This window comes from Homo sapiens, chromosome 17 (genome assembly GCF_000001405.40).
Source record: "Homo sapiens chromosome 17, GRCh38.p14 Primary Assembly".
In the NCBI taxonomy this organism is placed as follows: Eukaryota; Metazoa; Chordata; class Mammalia; order Primates; family Hominidae; genus Homo; species Homo sapiens.
The window spans coordinates 83,161,063-83,182,960 of NC_000017.11; the positions used below are offsets into that span (position 1 = coordinate 83,161,063).

The window sequence follows — 21,898 nt, forward strand, 5'->3', positions numbered from 1 at the left end:
GTGGTGTGGAGGACCAGAGGCTCTTGACTGGGAATGCCGGCCATGCAGGGTCTGGTGACTGACAGGTGCGTATCTGTGCAGGCCCAAGCCAGTGCTGGCCAGAGTGGCCAAGGCGTCCCCGATCGCAGGGGCAGCTCTCCCTGCTGTGGCCCGCAGCTGGACAGTGGCTGAGCTAGGATTCAGCCGAAGCTGCCGGTCCTGCCGGAGGCTTTCTTCTCACATCAGGGCCTTACGGCTGCCCCAACCCTGGCCCAGGTTTGTCACGGTTGTCCTGGGATCCCCTGAGGTTTCCCTGTTTCCCCTGCCTCTTCTGGGCACACAGATCTCGGGGGGCTTTCCTGAGCTGTCCTAAGCTCCAGCCTCCCAGATACCACCAGCTTCAGCGTCTTTTTCAGACCTCAGTGACAGCTGCCCCACGCCAGGTGCTGACCTTAAGCACCACTGTGCACCAGGGCTGGGTCCAGACACTTCCAGGCCTACTGTGTATCCTCCCCCTCCCCAGTGTTGACAAAACTGCTCTCCATGGTTTTGGCCTCTGTTGGAGGGGTTGCCCCAGATTTACATGTTTTGAGATGGATTTGTGGCTGCAGTGTTCCTCTGGGTCCAGGCTGTGGCCCCACGCCTGGGAATCATGTCTGACCCAAGTGTCTGGTGTCCTGTGCCTGGGGCGAGGCTCACGCCCACCGCATCCCGCCAGCTCAGCACCGGAGGCCCAGCCCTCTCCCCATCTCCCTTCCCTTCTCATTGTGATTCATCGTCTGTTTATTAAACATGTGGATTTTTGATTTGCAGTTTTTGGGGCTGCGAAGGCCTGATCCCACCAGCTGTTTACAATCTATCATCCAGCACAAATGGTTTCCACGTGGTTGTTATGCTGGCTTATGACTGGGAACAGAATCTTGGTATCCAAATATTGGACTTTCGGCTTAAAAATGAGTGCAGTTCTCAGCATTCCCATCCCTGTATTGACAGCAAATTTGCATATTCTCCTTGTTTGCTTTGCAGCTCAAGGTCGATGCTGTAGCCAGGATGTCATTCTAAATGGGCGGCCCCTGGGAAACAGAACCAATGGCCGTTGCCTCAGCGTTAAATTGGGGGACCGATCACAGGCTCCTGAGGGGGGTGAGGGTGCTCAGGCCCTGGTGCCGTCCGGCAGGAACAGGCTTCTCCGGGCCTCGGGGGGACATTGCTCCACTCATGACTGGTACAGCCCAGAGAGAGGCCCCTTTCCAGAGACCCTGAGTTACTGTCCCCAGAGAACACAATTTTTTTTTCCCAACAGAGAGATGGGCAGAGGCCATAAACAGATAGTTCAGAGCTATGAGAACCCAGGTGGCTAAAAACATGAAAAACATGGTCTCACCAGTAATCCAAGAAATACAAAACAAAACAGTACGGCCCTGGCATTTGCGAAACAGGCCCTGAACCTGCGAGGTGTGGCCACCGAGACCGACAGGCACCACAGCCTGGGGGGGCGTCGGCCAGCGTGCTCCAGGAAGTTCACACCTTCGACCTGTGTGTTCCACCCTGGACGAGCCATCCCAGAGACAAGGGAGTGGACAAAACTCAGCGCCCAAACACGTTCTCACAGCATTGTTCATAATCAGGGAAGTTAGGGCACATTTAAATAGTCAACATCAGAGCAGTGGTTAAGCAAATCCCCCAGTGCCTCTCAGAATCATATAATTGTTGAAAGAATGAATGGCGGACTGTGATGTAGCACGTAAGTCACATGGAGGAGGGGGTCTGAAGATCACGGGGATGCCTGTGGCCATATCGAAGGAAGAGCATGATGGGAAAATCCATCAGCGGCTCTCAAGGACAGAGCAGGGGAGAGTGACTTCCAGGAGGGGAAGAAGATTCCAGATGCTGATGGGGTGCTGGTGAGCAGTGCACACGCTTGTCAAAACTCATCAAACTGCACTAAAGGTCTGTGCTTTGTATTGTGTATAAATTATGTTCTCATAAAGTTGATTAAAATCTATTATGTAAAATTATATATAGACTTTCCCTCCATCTTAAAATATATAGGAAAAAGACAAAGGAAATAGGTTAAAATATCACTAATGGTTCATTTGGAATAATGAGATTTGGAGAGTTGGACAATTTCTTCTTCTTACTTTGTTTTCCGTGGTAGGTTTGCTCAGTGGTGGCCCCCGCAAAAGAAACGTTTGCCTCCTAGCCTCTGAATTTGAATGTCACCATATTTGGGAAAAGGGTCTTTGCAGATGTAATCTTAATAAGAGATCTTAATATGAGATCATCTGAGATTACTTGGTTTTTAGTAAGTAACCTTTAATTTTTAGAACAATTTTAGGTTCACAGCAAAATTGGATAGAAGTTACACAGGTTTCTCATATCACACCCCCACACAGGCATACAACCTCCCCTTATCAATATTTCCCATCAGAGGGTACATTTGCTACAGTGAATGAACCTACAGCGACACAGCATCGTGACCCAACTCCGTGGTTTACATCAGGATTTACTCTTGGTGTTGTCCATTCTAAGCGTGGACAAATTTATCATGACGTGTAGCCACCGTGGTAGTGTCACAGAACAGCCTCACTGCCCTGAAACCCTCTGCGCTTCCCAGGTCACCCCTCCCTCCCCCAGCTCCTGGCAACCACTGATTTTATACGGTCTCAGTTTTGCCTTTTGCAGGATGTCATATAGTTGGGATCATACAGCACGTAGCCCTTTCAGATTGGCTTCTTAGTAATACATTTGAGTTTCTTTCATGGCTTGACATCTCATTTCTTTTCAGCGCTGAATAACACTCCACTGTCTGGATGTGCCACTCACCTACTGAAGGACCTCTTTGTTGTTCCCAAGCTTTGGCAATTTTGAGTAAAGCTCCTATAAACGTCTGTGTGCAGGCTTCTCTGTGTACATACTTTTTCGGTTCATTTACCTAAATACCAAAGACAGCGATTGCTGGATTCTATGGGGAGGGTATGTTCCATTTTGGAAGAGACGGCCAGACTGTCTTCAATGGTGCTGCACTGTCTTGCGTTCCCAGCAGCCGTGAACGAGAGCTCCTGTTGCTACACATCCTGGCCAGCATTTTGTGTTCTCAAAACACATTCTGGCCACTCTAATAGATGTAGAGTGGTATCATTGTTTTAATTTGCAATCTCTAGTGGCGTATGACGTTGAACATCTTTTCATAGGCTTACTTGCCATCTATATATCTTCTTTGATGAGGTGTCTGTTTTGGTCTCTTGCCCATTTTAAAATCAAGTTGTTCATTTTTTTATTGTTGAGTTTTGATTGTTCTTCATGTATTTTGGATATCAGTTCTTTATCAGATGTGTCTGTGGCTTGCCTTCTCATTTTCTTGAAAGTGTCTTTCACAGAGCAGAAATTTCTAATTTCAAAGAAGCCCAGCTTATCAATCATTTCTTCCATGGATCGTGCCTTTAATGTTGTATCTAAAAAGTCATCACCTTACCCAAGGTCATCTAGGCTTTCCCTGTGTTAACTTCTAAGAGTTTTATAGTTCGCATTTTACGTTAGGTCTATGATCCATTTTCAGTTAGTTTTGTGATGGGTGTAAAGTCTGTGTCTGGATTTAATTTCTGCATGCAGATGTCCAGTTGCTCTATAGCCTCATTTGTTGAAAAGACAATTTTTGGCCACAGTATCGTCTTTGCTCCCTTGCCAAAGATCAGTTGACAAAATTATGTGAGTCTATTTCAGGACTTTATCCTATTCTGTTGCTTTATTTGCCTATTCTCATGTCAGTATCTTGATTATGGTGTCTTTTGCCTCTCTCTATAAACCTTAGAATCAGTTTGTCAATGTCTATAAATTAACTTGCTGGGATTTTTATTGAGAGTATGTTCAATCTACAGATTAATCTAGAACAACTGACTCGACAATATGTGAGAGGGTCTCCAAAAGGTTCATGGAAAATGCATATTATGAAAAAATGCGTAGATTTCAATTTCAAAATAAACTCATACTACCTTGTTATAACACATCTGAACAGGCTCTAGTTTGAGGCACTAAGAAGAATAGGACAGCAGTTTCAAAAGAGCCCCTATCAGGGCAACATGAATTCTGCCAACTGAATCTTTGAGTTTCTCACCATTAAGTAGGATGTTTGTTTTAGTTTTTTGGTAGATACTCTTTAACAAGTTGAAAAAATTCTCCTGTATTCCTAGTTTGCTGAGAGTTTTTAATCACGAATAAGTGTTAGGTTTTGTCAAATGCATTTTTGCATCCATGGATATGATGATGAGATTTTTCTTCTTTAGCCTATTGATGTGACTAATTTTCAAATGTTGAACCAGCCTTGCATACCTGGAATAAACCCTACTTTTCATAATATATAATTATTTTTACATATTGTTGAATTTAATTTGCTAATATTTTGTTGAGGATTTTTACATGTATGCTCGAGAGACATTTGTCTGTAGTAATATCTTTGTCTGGTTTTGGTATTAGGGTAATGCTGGCCTCATATAATGAGTTAGAAAGTATTCCTGCTGTTTCTACATTCTGGGAGATATTGTAGAGGACTGGCATAATTTTTTCCTTAAATGTTTGGTAGAATTCACCAATGAACCCATCTGGGCTTGGTGCTTTCTGTTTTGGAAGGTTATTAATTATTGATTCAATTTCTTTAATATAAACAGGCCTATTCAGATTATTTGTTTCTTCTTGTGTGAATTTTGGCAGATTGTGTCTTTCAAGGAACTGCTCCATTTTATCTAGGTTATCAAATTGGTGGGCATAGCATTTTTCAAAATATTCCTTTATTATTCCTTTAATGTTCATGGGATCTGTAGTGATGTCCCCCTTTCATTTCTGATATTAGTAATTTGTCTCTCTCTCTTTTTTTCTTAGCCTGGCAGAGGCTTACCAATTTTACTCATCTTTTAAAAGAACCAGCATTTGTTTTTGTTAATATTCTCTATAATTCCTGGTTTCAATTTTATTGATTTCTGCTCTAATTTTATTATTTCTTTTATTATGGTTAGTTTGGATTTAACTTGCTCTTCTTTTTCTAGTTTCATAAGGTGGAAGCTTAGACGACTGATGTTAGATCTTCTTTTCTAATATTTGCATTCAATGCTGTAAATTTCTAAGCACTGCTTTAACTGTTTCCCATAAATTTTGATAAGTTGTATTTTTATTTTTATGTAATTAAAAAAACTTTTTAGAAACAGGGTCTTGCTCTGTCACCCAGGCTGGAGTGCAATGGCATGATCATGGCTCACTGCAGCTTCACACTCTTGGGCTCAAGTCATCCTCTTGCCTCAGTCTCCTGAGCAGCTGGTACTACAGGCACATACAACTGTGCCCAGTTAATTTTTACATGTTTTTGTAGAGATGGGGGTCTTGCTGTGTTGCCCAGGCTGATCTCAAACTCCTGGCCTCAAATGATCCTCATGCTTCAGCCTCCTAAACTGCTAATTCAAAATATTTTAAAATTTATCTTGAGATTTCTTTTTTTTTTTGAGACAGAGTCTCACTCTATCGCCCAGGCTGGAGTGCAGTGGCACAATCTCAGCTCACTGCAAACTCCGCCTCCCAGGTTCACACCATTCTCCTGCCTCAACCTCCTGAGTAGCTGGGGCTACAGGCGCCCACCACCGCACCTGGCTAATTTTTTGTATTTTTAGTAGAGACAGGATTTCACCGTGTTAGCCAGGATGGTCTCGATCTCCTGACCTCATGATCCGCCCGCCTCGGCCTCCCAAAGTGCTGGGATTACAGGCGTGAGCCATCATGCCCAGCTGAAATTTCTTCTTTAACCCATGTACTTTTTAAAGTGTTTTGTTTAATCTTCAAGTATTTGGGAATTTTCCAGCTATCTTTCTGTTATTGATTTTGAGTTTAATCTGTTGTGGTTGGAAAGCAAACGTTGTGTGATTTCTGATTTATAAATCTGTTAAAATGTGTTTCCTGGCCCAGAATGTGGTCTCTCTTGGTAAATATTCAATGCAAGCTTGAGAAGAATTCTCAATCTGCTGTTGTTGGGTGTAGTATTTAGATGTCAATTATGTCCAGTTGATTGATGGTGTTGTTGAGTTCATCTGTGTCCTTATTGATTTTCTACCTGCTGGATCTGTTCATTTCTGATAGAGGGCTGTGGAAGTCTCCAGCTCTAATACTGGATTCATCTATTTCTCATTGCAGTGCTGTGATGTTTTTACCTCGTATATATTTGGCACTCTGTTGTTAGGCACATACACATTAAGGATTGTTACATCTTCTTGGAGTGCTGATTCCTTTATCACCTGTAATACTTCCCTTTGTCTCTGATAGCTTTCTTTGCTCTGAAGTCTGCTCTGTCTGAAATTAATATAGCCACTCCCACTTTCTTTGATTAGTGTTAGCATGGTATATCTTTCTCCATCCATTTACAGCAGATCTTCAAATAACATCATTTTGTTCAACATCATTTTATTTTGTTATAATGATAATAAGTTTTGTGCATTCTCCCCATGTCTGTGTGGGTTTTCTCTAGGTATTCCAGTTCTTCCCACACCCCAAAGATGTGCACACTAGGAGAGCTGGTGTGTCTCCATGGTCTCACTGTGAGTGTGGGTGTGTGTGAAATGTGCCCTGCAATGGAAAAGAGTCCTGTCCAGGATTGGTTCCCACCTTGCACCCTAAGCTGCCGGGATAGGCTCCAGCCACCTGCAACCCTGAGCTGGAGTAAGTGGATTGAAAAATAAATGAATTATTAGTAAAGTATTTTAAAATAACAATTCATAAACTATATGACAATCATAAAAATACATGACCACAAATAATGTGGTACAAAAGTGCTCATCAAGCCTGCCATGTTTGCTACTGTTTGTTTTTGAATTGAGTGGTGGTAGGAGGTGCTCCTCAGAATTTTCAGTTTACAAGCATTTATTCCTTGATTTAACCCACCACCACTATGACCACTGTCATTGATGATTCCTCAAAATTGAGTAAATAATTATCTTACTTGTTTTAATCTTTCTTAAATGTATGTATATCTTACATTTATTTCAATGTTTAATATTATAAGTATTTTGAGCCTATATTTAGAAGTTTGGTGATATTGTTGTGACCAGAAATATGTCACAAAAAACTTAACTCTTGTGTTTATCAATTAGCCTATAGGAAAAGTGGTTTTGTTATACATCACTTTACTCAAAAAGCCACAGTTTCCAAGAACCTACCACTGACGTTTAGTGAAGACTTACTATACTTTTAATCTATCCGTGTCCTTCTATGAAAGTGGGTTTCTTGTAGATGACATATAGTTGGGTATTGTTTTCTATCTACTCTGACAATCTGTCTTTTGATTGATGTATTTACACCATTGACATTTCAGGGATTATTAACATAATTGGGTTAATAGCTGCTATATTGTTTACTGCTTTCTATTTGTTGCCCTTGATCTTTGTTTCTAATTTTGTCACACGTTTTCTACCTTTTATGGTTTTAGTTGAACATTTTGTATTCTTTCATTTTCTCTCCATTCTGAGCATATCAACTGTACTTCTTTAAAAATTTTTTTGTGTGGTTTCCCTTGAGTTTGCAATATACATTATACAATAATCTGTAAGTCTACTTTCAAATAACACTATACAGTTTCATGGGTGGTGCAAATATCTTATAATAACAAAATATTTCTAATTCTTAACCCTTTCTTCCTGTATCATGACTGTCATTCACTTCATTTATATGTGAGCATATAGATGCACACATAATTCAGTTCATTGTCGCTATTATTTTGCACTGTTTTCTGTTTGCTAAATTAAAAAAAAGACAAAGTTTTTATTTTACTTCATTTATTCATGTTCCAGTGCTCTCCCTTACTTTATGTAGCTTCAAGTTTCTGACCTACATTATTTTCCTTCTCCTTAAATAATTTCTTCTAATATTTGTTGTAAGGAAGTCTATTGGCAAAAAATTCCCTCAATTTTTATTTGTTTGAGACTTTATTTTTCCTTCACTTTTAAAGGATAATTTCGCAGGGTACTGAATTCTAGTTTGGTGTTTTTTTCTCTCAGCACTTTAAATATTTCACTCCACTCTCTTCTTGCTTATACAGCCTGCCTGCCTGCCTGCCTGCCTGCCTGCCTGCCTGCCTGCCTGCCTTCCTTCCTTCCTTCCTTCCTTCCTTCCTTCCTTCCTTCCTTCCTTCCTTTCTTTCCCTTCCCTTCCCTCCCTCCCTCCCTCCCTCTCTCCCTCTCTCTCTCTCTCTTTTCTTTTTCTTTCTTTTTGAAAGCCTGTTGCACAGGCTGGAGTGCAGTGGTGCACCCACAGCTCATCACAGCCTAGACCTCCCTGGGCTCAGGTGATCCTCCCACCTCAGCCTCCCAAGTAGCTGGGACTACAAGTGCTCACCACCACACCTGGCTAATTTTTGTGTTTTTTGTAGAGATAGAGTCCTGTCATGTTACCCTGGCTGATATTGAACTCCTGGGCTTAAGCATCCCACTTGCCTCAGCTTCCCAAAGTGTTGGGATTGTAGGCATGAGTCACCATGCCCAGCTGCTTACACAATTTCTGAGGAGAAGTCAGATGTGATTCTTATCCGTGCTCCTCCACAGGTAAGGTGATTGTTTCCCTCTGTCTTTTTTTCAAGACTTTATCTTTGACTCTAAAGTTTGAATGTGGTACACCTAGGTGGTGTTTTTGGTTGTTTGGAGTTTTTTTTTTTGGCATTTATTCTGCTTAATCTTCTCAAAGCTTTCTGGATTTATGGTTTGGTGTCTGACATTAATTTGGAAAAATTCTTGGTCATTATTGCTTCAAATTTCTTTCTTCTCCTTCTTGTATTCCCATCACACATATGCTACACCTTTTGTAGTTGTCCCAGAGTTATTGAATATTCTGTTTTTTTTTTTTCCTTTTTCTCCTTGCTTTTCGGTTTGGGAAGTTTCTATTGTCATATCCTTAAGCTAAGAATCATTTCCACAGCCATGTATGTCTAGTCAGCTAACGAACCCATCAAAGGCATCCTTCATATCTGTTCTAGTGGTTTTGATCTCTAGCATTTCTTCTTTATTCTTTCTCAGAATTTTCCACATCTCTGCTTACATTACCCATCTGTTCTTGTCATTCCTGATCTGATAATTTCAACATTCCTGCCATATCTGACTCTGGTTCTGATGCTATTCCGTCTTTTCAAGCTATGTCTTTTGTCTTTTAGTATGCCTTGTAATTTTTTGTTGAAAGGCAGACATAATGTACTGGGCAAAAGAAACTGCAGTAAATGGCCCTTTAGAAATGTAGTGATCCAAGCTGGGTGTGGTGGCTCACGCCTGTAATCCCAGCACTTTGGGAGGCCCAGGTGGGTGGATCATGAGGTCAAGAGATCGAGACCATCCTGGCTAACATGGTGAAACCCCGTCTCTACTAAAAATACAAAAAATTAGCCGGGCGCGGTGGCAGGCGCCTGTAGTCCCAGATAATTGGGAGGCTGAGGTAGGAGAATGGCGTGAACCCGGGAGGCGGAGCCTGCAGTGAGCCGAGATTGCGCCACTGCACTCTCCAGCCTGGGTGACAGAGCGAGACTCCGTCTAAAAAAAAAAAAAAGAAATGTGTTGGTCCAACATGGGGCCAGGAGAGGCATTCTCTAGTTCTCTGAACAGGTCTCAGCCTTTTGAACCTGTGTCCTGGACTGTGAACTTCACTAATGCTTTTCAGTTTCTATCCCCCTTAAAGGTTGGACAGGATGACTAGAAGGGCCTGGGGTTCGGTATTTCCCTTCTCCCAGGTGGTCTGGGCTCTGATAAAACCTCAACAGGCAAGGCTGATTGAATAGTTTCTGTTGGGGGCAGCCTTGTTAAGAACAGAAGGCTCTGGCAGACTTTAAAATGACTCCTTTCCCCCTCCCCCGGCTGAGAGCATGAGGGGATTTCTCTCTGATATTCACTGTGAGGACCTGGTAGGGCTCCTGGAGATAAAATCCACAAAGGCGTGTTTCCCATAACTGGGTCCCCTCGAGTTTTTAACTCTCAAAGTTGTCCACACTGAACCGCAATTCATCAACTTCATCCAGGTTTTCTTATGCCGGCACTGGTTCCAGTGGAGGTTTCTGCTCTTGGGAAGCTGTGATTCTCTGTATCTGTCAGTGTTTCTCTTCAATTTGCCGGGGGGCAGCAGTTTGTCCTGTGACCTAATTTCTCTGAAAGATTTAAGAAGAGTTGATTTTTCAATTTTTTTCAGCTGTTTACTTGTTAGGACAGAGTGACAACTTCTAAGTTCTACATGTATTTTTAATTTTGTGCATTAGATTTTTGATTTCTAAAAATCTTAATTGGCTGTTTAACAAATCTATCTGTCATTTTCATAGTTTTCTGTTACTTGCAGGTATTTTCAAGTTGATCTTTTACTTCTTTAAACATAATGATAACTAAAAATAATATGTGTCTGATAATTCCATTTTTTAAGTCTTTGTGGATTTTTGCTTACTATTTTTTCTGCCAGTTCTAACTCATGGTGCCTTGTGTCTTTGTATATGTAGTTATTTTTCACTGTGAGCTGCTCATGTTGCTTATACAATTATTGGGGGAAATTCTTTGAGTTTGAGATGAATGTGCATCCCTTCACAGACTGTATTTGCTTTTCCCAAGCTCCTGTAGCCCCATCAATCTGAAATCTTTTTAAACTAATTCCACAGCCTAAAGATTTTTGGACTCCCAAGGAACAGAGTCTCTGTGCTTGGAGGCGGCCCGGGCAGCCTGGCTTGTCCAGATGGAGCTCACGGCCGGGGCCTCGCCTGTGACTCGGTGTGGGCGGGGCCTCGCCTGTGACTCGGTGTGGCCCGGGGCCTCGCCTGGGACTCGGTGTGGGCCGGGGCCTCGCCTGGGACTTGGTGTGGGCAGTGGCCAGGATGTGACCATGGTGAGACCAGGCCTTGCCAGAGCGTGGACTTGGCAGACACGGCTCCTCCCTTGTGTGCGGTGGGAGCTTTTGGTGCGTTCCTTACGTTGGAGCCGGCATGGAGAAGCAGGGCGGTCCCTGGGGACCAGCTCCTCATTTGCACCCCTCTTTTTAATTAAGTACATTGTTTATTTTTGGTACCTACTTGTAGCCTAGTTTAGGGCCCACCGCATATTCTAAAGTGATGCACCCAATGGTGTCCAGAGACAGACTAGCCTGGAGTTGGATGGGGGGCCAGTCTGGGGATGCAAAGGTCTAGAGAAGCCCAGGCCAAGGGCAGGCAGAGCAGGGTGGGAGTGGGAGCAGGAGGGGATGCTGGGGGCAGTGGCAGCACATGTGTCCCAAACCACTGCCTCCTAGGTGGGGTGGGACGGGCCCCAACACACCACCTGGCTGTGCCCCGTGTGGGGGTCAGGGGTGCAGCGAGGAGGGCTGGGTGAGCAGTGGGGTCAGCAGTGCGGCGAGGAGGGCTGGGTGAGCAGTGGGGTCAGCAGTGTGGCGAGGAGGGCTGGGTGAGCAGTGGGGTGAGGGGTGCGGCGAGGAGGGCTGGGTGAGCAGTGGGGTGAGGGGTGCGGCGAGGAGGGCTGGGTGAGCAGTGGGGTCGGGTGCGGCGAGGAGGGCTGGGTCAGCAGTGGGGTCAGCAGTGTGGTGAGGAGGGCTGGGTGAGCAGTGGGGTCAGCAGTGCGGCGAGGAGGGCTGGGTGAGCAGTGGGGTCAGCAGTGTGGCGAGGAGGGCTGGGTGAGCAGTGGGGTCAGCAGTGTGGCGAGGAGGGCTGGGTGAGCAGTGGGGTCGGGTGCGGCGAGGAGGGCTGGGTCAGCAGTGGGGTCAGCAGTGCGGCGAGGAGGGCTGGGTGAGCAGTGGGGTGAGGGGTGCGGCGAGGAGGGCTGGGTCAGCAGTGGGGTGAGGGGTGCGGCGAGGAGGGCTGGGTGAGCAGTGGGGTCGGGTGCGGCGAGGAGGGCTGGGTGAGCACTGGGGTGAGGGGTGCGGCGAGGAGGGCTGGGTGAGCAGTGGGGTCAGCAGTGCGGCGAGGAGGGCTGGGTGAGCAGTGGGGTGAGGGGTGCGGCGAGGAGGGCTGGGTGAGCAGTGTGGTCAGCAGTGTGGCGAGGAGGGCTGGGTGAGCAGTGGGGTGAAGGGGTGCGGCGAGGAGGGCTGGGTGAGCAGTGGGGTCGGGTGCGGCGAGGAGGGCTGGGTGAGCAGTGGGGTCAGCAGTGCGGCGAGGAGGGCTGGGTGAGCAGTGGGGTGAGGGGTGCGGCGAGGAGGGCTGGGTCAGCAGTGGGGTGAGGGGTGCGGCGAGGAGGGCTGGGTCAGCAGTGGGGTCAGCAGTGCGGCGAGGAGGGCTGGGTCAGCAGTGGGGTCAGGGGTGCGGCGAGGAGGGCTGGGTCAGCAGTGGGGTCAGCAGTGTGGCGAGGAGGGCTGGGTGAGCAGTGGGGTGAGGGGTGTGGTGAGGAGGGCTGGGTCAGCAGTGGGGTGAGGGGTGCGGCGAGGAGGGCTGGGTGAGCAGTGGGGTCGGGGTGCGGCGAGGAGGGCTGGGTCAGCAGTGGGGTCAGCAGTGTGGTGAGGAGGGCTGGGCGAGCAGTGGGGTCGGGGTGCAGCGAGGAGGGCTGGGTCAGCAGTGGGGTCGGGGTGCAGCGAGGAGGGCTGGGTGAGCAGTGTTGGCCTCTTCCCCGCTCTGCCCAGTACCTAGAGTGCTGCCACGTCTGGTGAAGGACTCAGTAAATACTTGGTGAAGGATCAGATGAAGAAGGAAAAGTTGTCAGTGCTGAGGCAGGAGAAGCCAACCTCAGCATCTGAGCCTGAGTGGTGGTGGGGCAGGGTCCTGCCCAGAGAAAGGTGATCCCCTTCCCGAGGGGAGGGCTGGCACGGTGCTCAGGAGCAAGGGCTGCAGGCCCACAGGACCTTTGTTCATCTGACCTGTGTCCCCATGCCAGGCTCTGTCCCAAGCGGGCTGAGGCAGATGGCCTAGGCAGCCGTCGGTGAACCCTCCCTGGCTCCAGAGCCTGTGCAGGCCCCGTGGGGGTCAGGCTGCTGTGGGGGGCTTGAGGACCCTCACTTTTGGCCCCTGGAGGCCCCGACGAGGCGGCCCTTGAGGTTCAACTGGACAGTATTCCCCTGACCCCTGAGCAGAGTGTGGCATCAAGACCCCGACAGTGAGGCCAGTCCCAGGCCGGGATTCGGTGCCCTCCTTTAATGTGTGTGCGAGTGCCCACAGGCCTCACTCAGCCTAGAGGAAGGTGGGCTTGCGAGCTGGGGCCTGTCTCATGCTTTGCCTCCGTGGCATTGGCTGCGCCTCACTCCTGCACTGTGGCTTCCATGTGTTGAAAGGCGAGTTCCATAGGTGAGAACAGCTCCCTCCCAGCACACCACCGGCCTTTGCTCGTGTACAGTATTTACCCAATGCCGGTGAACACGAGCAGCCTCCATATTCTTGCACCAAGGCTGGAGAAGGACCCAGCCTGCAACACAGCTCATGAGGCATCAGGGGCCAAGCACCTACCGTCTTGATGACTGGGGGATGGTGCCCAGGTCTGTCTGCCCCCACTGTCCAGTGGATGGTGTGGGAAGGCATTGCAGGCTGGCTGAGCAGGTTACATAACAGTGCACACATGGGTTTACTTTACTTGAAACCCTAAACCCTCTGCAAACAGCCCCCTCCCTAATCCCTCCCTGTTGACTCTGTAGATGAGCCCAGGGTGCTGAAAGATGCAGCTGCATGCCTCTGCAGCCAGGCCCAGGGCCTGCAACATCCTTCAGCCAAACGTGGGTCCCTGGGGAGCCTCTGTGGCCTCGCCGGTTTCGATGAAGGCCAGAGGACTGGCTGCACGGGTTGCCTCAGCTCTGCCTGCCTCTCTGTTCGTGCCTCTCTCCTACCTGGCGGGGGTGTCTCTGTTGGCCTCAGAGATGTCGCTGGTGCTCACCCTGGTCACACTGACCACTGGGCATCCTCCCACCCCCTGGGCCACTTCTGTCTCTGCACTTGGCTTCCCTGCCCACGGCGTGGCACCCAAACAAAGCCCACAGAGAGGCTGGCGCCCTCCTCAGCCAGATGCCTGCATTTAATAGAAGATGCAGAGACACAATCTAAGCCAAAGGAATGAATCTCTAGTGGTGAAATAGCATCTGGTAAGAGGAGAGATTTCTGAAAGGAGGCCCCTTTCTCCTTCTCGCCCCTCCTTGCTCTGGAGGCTGAGTCCAGCTGCTCCTCCCATGCCCCTGCCCAGAGGGCAACGTGCACCAGGGCCTGAGAGCACAGACAGGTCTAGGTGGGATCCGTGTCAGCACCGCAGGGCACACGAGCGACTCGGCAGGCTCCAGAGTTTGGCTCATTTTCTGCTTGGTCCCTTTTTGATGCCTGTGATTTATTTATAACAATAGTTTGCATAATTCCAAATGTGGTGACACAGCATGCAGACGCTGAGTGAAATGAAGACAGAACAGATTTTTCAGAGGGGTAGTGGTGTGGAGCAGGCTGGGCCGCGAGTGATAGAACTGAGCCCCAGGTTGTGCTCGGAGTCTCCTGGTGCCAGAACACTGGGCTTCCGTGGGACCTGAGGGGCTGAAACGGTGCTGGACCTGGACCCTTCCTCACAGTCACCCTCAGGTAGCCCATCTCAGACAGGAGGGGACCCCTTGTCCCCCATCCCCATGTTCGGAGCGTGCTGAGCTGCACACAGTCCTCCCTGGGTCTGAGACCGCTGGTCCTGCCCCCACCCCAGCTCTCTCCCCTCTGGGTCTTGGGTTTCAGCTGTGATGTCATCCTGCTTGCCTGGAGTCCAGAGGGGTTAGCTGGGGGGCTCTTGTTTGCCCAGAATTCCTTGTGGCTGTCCAGTCTCAGTGCCCACTGTGATGCCTGACCCTCCGTGAGAGCCAGCACTCAGGTCAGAGATCGTAACCTCCCGAGTGCTGAGTGTCTCCGGCGCTGCCCAAGCTCAGGGCATGTTTGTGTCTCAGTTCAGGGCATGTTTATGAATTGACAAATGAAGTTTTGGAAGAGGACAAGTTCACATACACTTGACCACCGAGAGATAGAGGGAGGGTTTCACATAGCTCTCTACCATGGGGGGGAGCGGTTTTCCCCTGGGGCCTAGTGTGTGGCCCTGTCCAAGCTCACCCAGCCTCCCCTTGAGGGAGCACCATAGATTCCGGATGCTCAGACCATGTTGGAAGCTCAGGCCTTTGGAACACCTCAGATCCTACTCCAGCCTTTCTAGAAGCTGGGGTTTAATATATCTTAGCAGATGGGAATGTCCTGTCACTCAGAGAAAAGGCTGGGCAAGGTCTCTCTGGGGATGAAACCACTTAGCGCTCTTCTTTTGGGGGATTTAAGCGCAAATGATTCAGAAACAGTCAGGCTTCATTTCTTGACACGGGGCTGGAGGAGGTGAGAAGGGCATTGACCAAATGAAATTTGGGTTTGGTCCAAGTCAGAAATGTGTGAGATGAATGGGGACAGGTTTCCCGAGCCCATTTAGGTCTGTGCACGGTTACCAACAGCAGCAGCAGCAGCGGAGGCTGGGGCACCAGGGTGGGGCTCCTGAATGGGACATGAAGAAGGGTTACCCCTTCTGCCATAAGCAACAGGCAGGGCAGATTTTACAAACGCGTTTTCTAGCATTGTTTCTTTCAGCCCAAAAGAGTTCTGTGAGTTCATCTTCAGAAATCAAGTTTCTGAGAGGTGGGGACATCCAAGGACACTGGAGATTGGGATGTCCGGGAAAACGGGGTCTTCAGGCCCGATCTCTGCCCACCTTCCATGCCCTTTCCCCAGCCTGCCCCTCCAGGGTGCAGCCTCCCCATGCCGACGAGGTTCCCTGGCACAAGCAGGCTGGTGTGCATGTCTGTGCTTTGGCTGCAGGAGCTGCAGAGAGGGTGATGTCAGGTCCATGTTGTGTAGAGAGAATTCCGACATCGCCCAGCAGGTGCTCGGGTGCCGTGTCCAGCAGCTTGGTGGGCTTCCTCAGCCCCTCAGACCCCCAAAACCATTTTCTTTTTTTGCATCCATCAATGTCCCGCACAGGAGCAGGCCCCTCCCAGGTGAGGTGGGCTTGGATGCAGGAGGGAAGTGGTAAAGACCCCTCCCAGAGACAATGCAGAATTGGCCTACACGGGTGGGGCATTGGAAGCCAGCTCTGGGGGTACTGACTCAGGAAGATGTGCCTCAGCTGAGCCCCGGGCATTAGGAATTGGCTGCAGGCATGGACAGTGGACACGGAGCAGGGAGGCCCAACGCTACCTGCCTACAGGGGAGCCTGGGACGTGGGCTTCTGTTCCGCAGCCTGCAGAGCCTGCTGGAGCCGGGCTGGTGTCGAGGACCACCTGGCGCCCAGCAGGTCCCCCTGCAGCTTGTTTTCTGGGAAAGCAATGGACTGAATGCCTGTGTCCCCCCAAATTCATGTGTTGAAATCAACCCTCAAGGTGATGGCATTTGGGGGTGCAGCCTTTAGGAGGTGATGGGGTCATGAGGGCGGAGGCTCATGAACGGGGTTACTGCCCTTACAGAAGAGGCCTAAGGGATGCCCCTCTCTTCCTCCACATGACACAGTGAGAAGGTGGCTGTCTGCAAGCCAGGAAGAGGGCCCTCACCAGAACCCAACTCAGCTGGTACCGTCTGCAGCTTCCAAACTCCAGAACTGTGAGAAATAAATGTGTGTTGTTATTAAATCGTCTTGGTGTTTTGCTAGAGAAGCCCTAGCTAAGGCACCTTCCGTTCTCCCACCTCTTCCTCCTGGGGCAAGGCCTGGGTGAGGCCCCATAAGCCAGCGAGTGGCTTCAAGCTGGTGGCACAGCCAGTTTCAAGCCGTCTCTGGGGTACGTGGCACACACAAGAGCCGGGCTGTGTAACCTGCAGCCCACGGCTCCACAGAGGGGCTGTGCCGCCCGGGGACACTTTCTCTGCAGGTCTCTGGCTTCAACCCTCCTTGCCGCTTGTGTGCCGGGATGCACTTTTGGGGCAGCTGGCAGCCTTTTAGCCTCAGCTCCTCTGTGGGGACAGAGCCAAGACTGATCGCAAGGCCAAGACCTAGGAGTCCAGGGGAGGCCCTCGGCTCTGTCCTTCCTGCCGGCCCGGCTCCTGCTCATTCCACTAACAGGCATCTCCCTGATGAAATCCTCGAGAGGTTAGTCCTGTCTCGGCGGCAGCTGCTCAGAGCACCGGGCTGTCCTCTGGCCCCTCCGAAAGCATGGCCCTGAATCACTGGGGGAGCCTCACCAGGCAGAGATGGCTCATCCCCATGGACCTGGGCCCCCGGGTCCCGGCCCCCCTGGCCTGGCCAGCACCTGACGCTGCTGTGAGGAGCATATGGTCAAATCTGCACCTGCTGCCGGCCACAAGGGAGGAGCAAGTGCTGAGTGCCCCTGGGCCACCTGACCAAGAGGTGTCCTTGTGTCCCTCGCCCCCTGCCCCAGACGTGCCTCTCGGGACCTTCAGGCCACGGTGCTATTTATTACCCACTTGAGGACAAACTCGGAGCCAACCCACAGGCCTATGTGGCAGGACTGGCCACACCTGGGCCCAGACACGCTGCAGCTTTGCGACTCCGGCCACAGATCCCGGGGACTGACTGGGGTTGCAGGCCTTGGGCCAGCCCCTGAACCTGGCCGTGCCTCACAGAGCTTTGGTGGGGATGACATGAGTGGATACATTCAAAGGGTTTAAAACGGCGCCTGGCACACTGCATCCGTGCTGCTGTGATTCTATTTGAGTTGGTGCTTTCCAGATCGGTTTCTCTCTGTGACGATCCAGAATCTGTGTTCCGTGCCCAGGCCCAGGAGTGAGGAGAGGCCAACAGGGAGGAGAGGAGGGCTCCTGCCTCAGGGAAACGGAGCCCGTGCAGGAGGTCCTGGCCGGGCAGCATGGGGCTCAGGACGGATGCCCGTGGCGGGTCACCCCCCACAGCAGTCACAGCCGGGGGGCCCCCAGGCCTCAGGGTTCCACGGAGCAGGTTGGGCAAGTGTGTTAGGACCATCAGCAACCTGTGTGCAGCCAAAGACAGCAAGGACAGAGCCAGGAACTCCGGCTTCTGCCTCCTCTCCCTGTGCCGCCTCTCCTGGCTGAGGGCTGGAGAGAGAAGGCCACGGAGCGAGAGTGGCAGCCCTCAAGGGACGCAGGCTCAGTGCTGGCTGCAGGGGAGCTGCGAGGGCCTCAGGCGAGGGAGCTGCGAGGAGGCCGCTGCGGCCCAGTCCGTCTGTTCCCTGAGCTGATGACAAACCGTTTGTTTTCTGTGAAAGGTGCTTTACTGGGAGAAAGGCTAACAGTGAGGCAGCTCTGAAGTGCTTTTATTCTCAGTTTCCTCTGTCGCTTAAAGACCACTTCACATTTCTTTTTATTTACACGGATAAGGATGGATGAGCTTGATGTTCTCCCACCTTCCTCTTGGCGCAGCTTTCTTCTCCTCCCTCTTGGAAGGACTTTCGCTTTTTATTATTATTTTAAACGTTTTAAACAACAATCTCCCAGGCGCCCAACAAAGGCGCTACTGGTGCCAGGTGCTTGGCGCCTGCCTTCCCTGACAACACACGGGCCACATCCTCAGCCCCCCCGGCTGGTGGCCTGTGACTCCCGCCCCAGTGCCAGACTCTTTATTTCATTTTGTTGGCATGGTGGAAAACACTGGCTTTTCAGGAGGTGACCCTGCTTTCAAGAGCCAACCTTTGGAGAAAACAGGACACAGAAGCTGGTTTTGGCTGTGAGGCCCTGACGCACGGATGCAGGTTGCACAGGCCCCATGTCCTCCTCACAGCCTGCCTTTCCAGCTGGCTCAGGAGTCCCTGCGGCTTGAGTTTATCCAGAAGCTTCCCTTTCTCCCGCAAGAGCTACTCGTGGAAGAGACCAGTTTTAAGTGATTTTGCCGCATTTGACCTTTTGGGTATTTCAGTGAAAACAAAACCTCTTCCACAATGCAAAAACTTGGATTCAACAACCATCGATTATTCCCTCTGGGCACCTCACAGAGCTGGGGTGAAGGCCACCTGGGGTTCACGGGACTCACCGTTGGGTGTTGGCATTGAGTCTTGTAGAGCAGGGACTGGCAAAGTCAGAGCACAGGGCCTGGTGTGAATCCCACCTCCTTCCCCGACTGGCCAGGGGACCTGCAGCAAGCGCTCAGCATCTCTGAGCCTTAGTTTCTTCCTCTGCACGGGGAGCTCAGCGGTGGCACCCACTTCATTTCAGTGGTGCCCCCTTAGTCATGGATGATATAAAAATGTTGCCACAAAAGTAACCAAGACAGGTCGGGATGAGATATGCACGACTTCTAAACCCAATTAGGGATTAATTAGGAACATACAATAAATTCCCCCAATTCATAAGAAAAAGACAGGAACTCCGGTGGATGAATGGACAGATGATATTAATAGGCAATTTTCAGAGGAATTTAAAGCAGCAGACAGATCCATCATACCTGCCAGACAGGTGTGCGCTGCCTGGTGTGACCCTGCTGGAGGCAGTGAGGGCAGCAGGGATGGCAGCACCTGGCGGCTAGGACTCGGCCAAGCTGAAGTTCATGCACCCGAGAGCCACAGCCTCTGCCCCAGACAGGGATCAGAAGTAGATTTACACTCCCCTCTGAAAGAACAACAACAGAGAAAACACACAAAGCACATTTTTCAAAACCCTGGGCATCGGTCGCCCGCACTCCGCCACCGTGAGTACACTGCGTGGACCCAGAACCTTGACTCCTCTTGTTTCTGTGAGGCTGGGACTTACGGGTGATGTGCAGAGGGGCCAGAGCTGGTATTTAGAGAGGAAATTTGGGGGCAATTAAAATAGGGGTTCTCGACAAGTCTGGCCTCCCTGAGCCCAGGACCACCATAGAGCTCTGAACAGAGGAATGAGCTGGTCGCCGTGAGAGGCGGCTTTGCCAGAGCTGGGCCAGGGGGAAACAGCCCGTTCAATCAGGACTTGGGGGGTGGGACTGGCTTGGGGTTGGTTGGTGTGAGGCGGGGAGAAGGAGATCCGGAAGAGTCCTCGACGGCTGACATTCACGTCACTGGAGGGGGCCGATTGGAGGGGTCAGCGATGGGCTCAATTTTGTGCCCTCTTGAGTTCGAGGTGTCTGTGGGGCCTCCAGCTACAGACATTTGTGTGTTGGAAAAGCTCTGCAAACCCTGAAACCTGGGGAGGCCCCTGGTCTTGTCTGATGGTTGTAGGTCATGGTGACCTCCACTAGGGCATCTTCACTCCCCTGAGCCACACTGAGACACTGGGTTTGATTGAGACTCTCCAGCCATGATGACAAGGGTTCAGCTCTGGTAAGCCATGTGCAGCCTCCCCCTCAAAGACCAGATGCCACCCACCCAGGGCCCCAAACATCCTGGCCCAGCGGGTCTGCTCACTCCTTGATGAGCTTACCTTCCTCGATCACCCCAACATGCAGAGAGAAACCCTTTGCCCTTCTTGGAGGGAGGGGTCAGATGCTCACTCTGCAGATCCCTGAAGACAAGCAGATGCTCCCTGAGTGGCCTGTCTGAGGGATTCAGCTGGCAGCTGGGTATCCTCATGTGTGCAGTTCCTGAGTGAGCACTGGTGGTGGGGAACAGGCCTGGCTTTCCATGCCTGGGGGGTGCAGGGGGGATGGGCCTGGCTTTCCACGCCTGGGGGATGCAGGGGGGATGGGCCTGGCTTTCCACGCCTGGGGGGTGCAGGGGGGATGGGCCTGGCTTTCCACGCCTGGGGGGTGCAGGGGGGATGGGCCTGGCTTTCCACGCCTGGGGGGTGCAGGGGGGATGGGCCTGGCTTTCCACGCCTGGGGGGTGCAGGGGGGATGGGCCTGGCTTTCCACGCCTGGGGGGTGCAGGGGGGATGGGCCTGGCTTTCCACGCCTGGGGGGTGCAGGGGGGATGGGCCTGGCTTTCCACGCCTGGGGGGTGCAGGGGGGATGGGCCTGGCTTTCCACGCCTGGGGGGTGCAGGGGGGATGGGCCTGGCTTTCCACGCCTGGGGGGTGCAGGGGGGATGGGCCTGGCTTTCCACGCCTGGGGGGTGCAGGGGGGATGGGCCTGGCTTTCCACGCCTGGGGGGGTGCAGGGGGGATGGGCCTGGCTTTCCACACCCGGGGGGTACAGCGGGGATGGGCCTGTATTCCACACCTGGGGGTGTATGTCCACCACCCAGATGCCACCTCTGTGTCATTCCTGGAGGGCATTCGGGCATCACCTGAGGGTGGGGAGCAGTGCCCTGACCCACATGACCCCCAGCAGAAGCTGCCACTGTCGGCCCTGGGCTCCGGGTGTCAGCGTGGCGCTCTGGGCTTTTCCCACACTGGGGGGCCATTTCAGGATGTGGATCCCTCCAGGAAGGGCTTGCTGAGTGGCTGCTGTTTGCTGGGATGGGTGAGGGGTAGACAACAGGCACTCAGGAGCCATGGTTGGGACAGAACTTATGTTTGTCAGCCACCTTGGAGGGGCGACCTGGAGAGCTCGGACAACCTTGCAGCACCCACCAGAGAGCTTAGCACCAGGACCCAGCGGAGCTCTCCCACGTGCACACAGACTCACTGCTCGTGTGTGAGAAGGGGAATAAGTGTGACTGAGCCTTCTGGAAGTTAGGGCCTAGCACAGAGGGTCCCAGATGGCCCGGAGAACCAGGTCCTGTGCAGCTATCCAGAGAAGGTCCAGTCACCAGAGACAGACAGCTGGAGTGCCAGGGCCCTGGAGGTATCAATTGCCTTTGTTTTACATGAAGACATTGAACTTCCACAGGAGGGCAAACGCCCTGGCTAAAGTAACTGGCGGGGCAGCGTCAGGAACTCACAAGCCCCTGTGGTCCGTGCAGGCTGCCGTCGATTTGATGAGCACAGCAGGTCCAGGCAGAGAGACGCTCACCTCCAGCTGCGGTTGGGGTATGTCTGGGAGGCCTGTGGGGTGGCTTTGCTCCTCCACCTTGGGCCAGGGTAGCCTGTGGCAAAGACAGTCTCACAGTGTGTAGTCTCCTTGAGGTCTGGGCCTGTCCGCAGACAGGAAATAATGAGACCGGCTCAGGACAGGGCCGGGCTGGCCTCTGTGTTTTGTGAAAGTTC

The 21,898-nt window shown here is 51.1% G+C and overlaps 2 long non-coding RNA genes across 2 annotated transcripts in view; both read left to right on the top strand.

The window, feature by feature from the left end:
* LOC101929650 (uncharacterized) overlaps nucleotides 1–21,898 on the top strand; it is a 71,977-nt gene that overhangs the window by 17,625 nt on the left and 32,454 nt on the right. The window lies entirely within an intron of this gene.
* LOC124904105 (uncharacterized) lies at nucleotides 8,467–16,545 on the top strand. The gene is made up of 2 exons (XR_007065981.1): nucleotides 8,467–8,549; nucleotides 16,427–16,545. It is a non-coding gene; the product is annotated as an uncharacterized LOC124904105 (long non-coding RNA).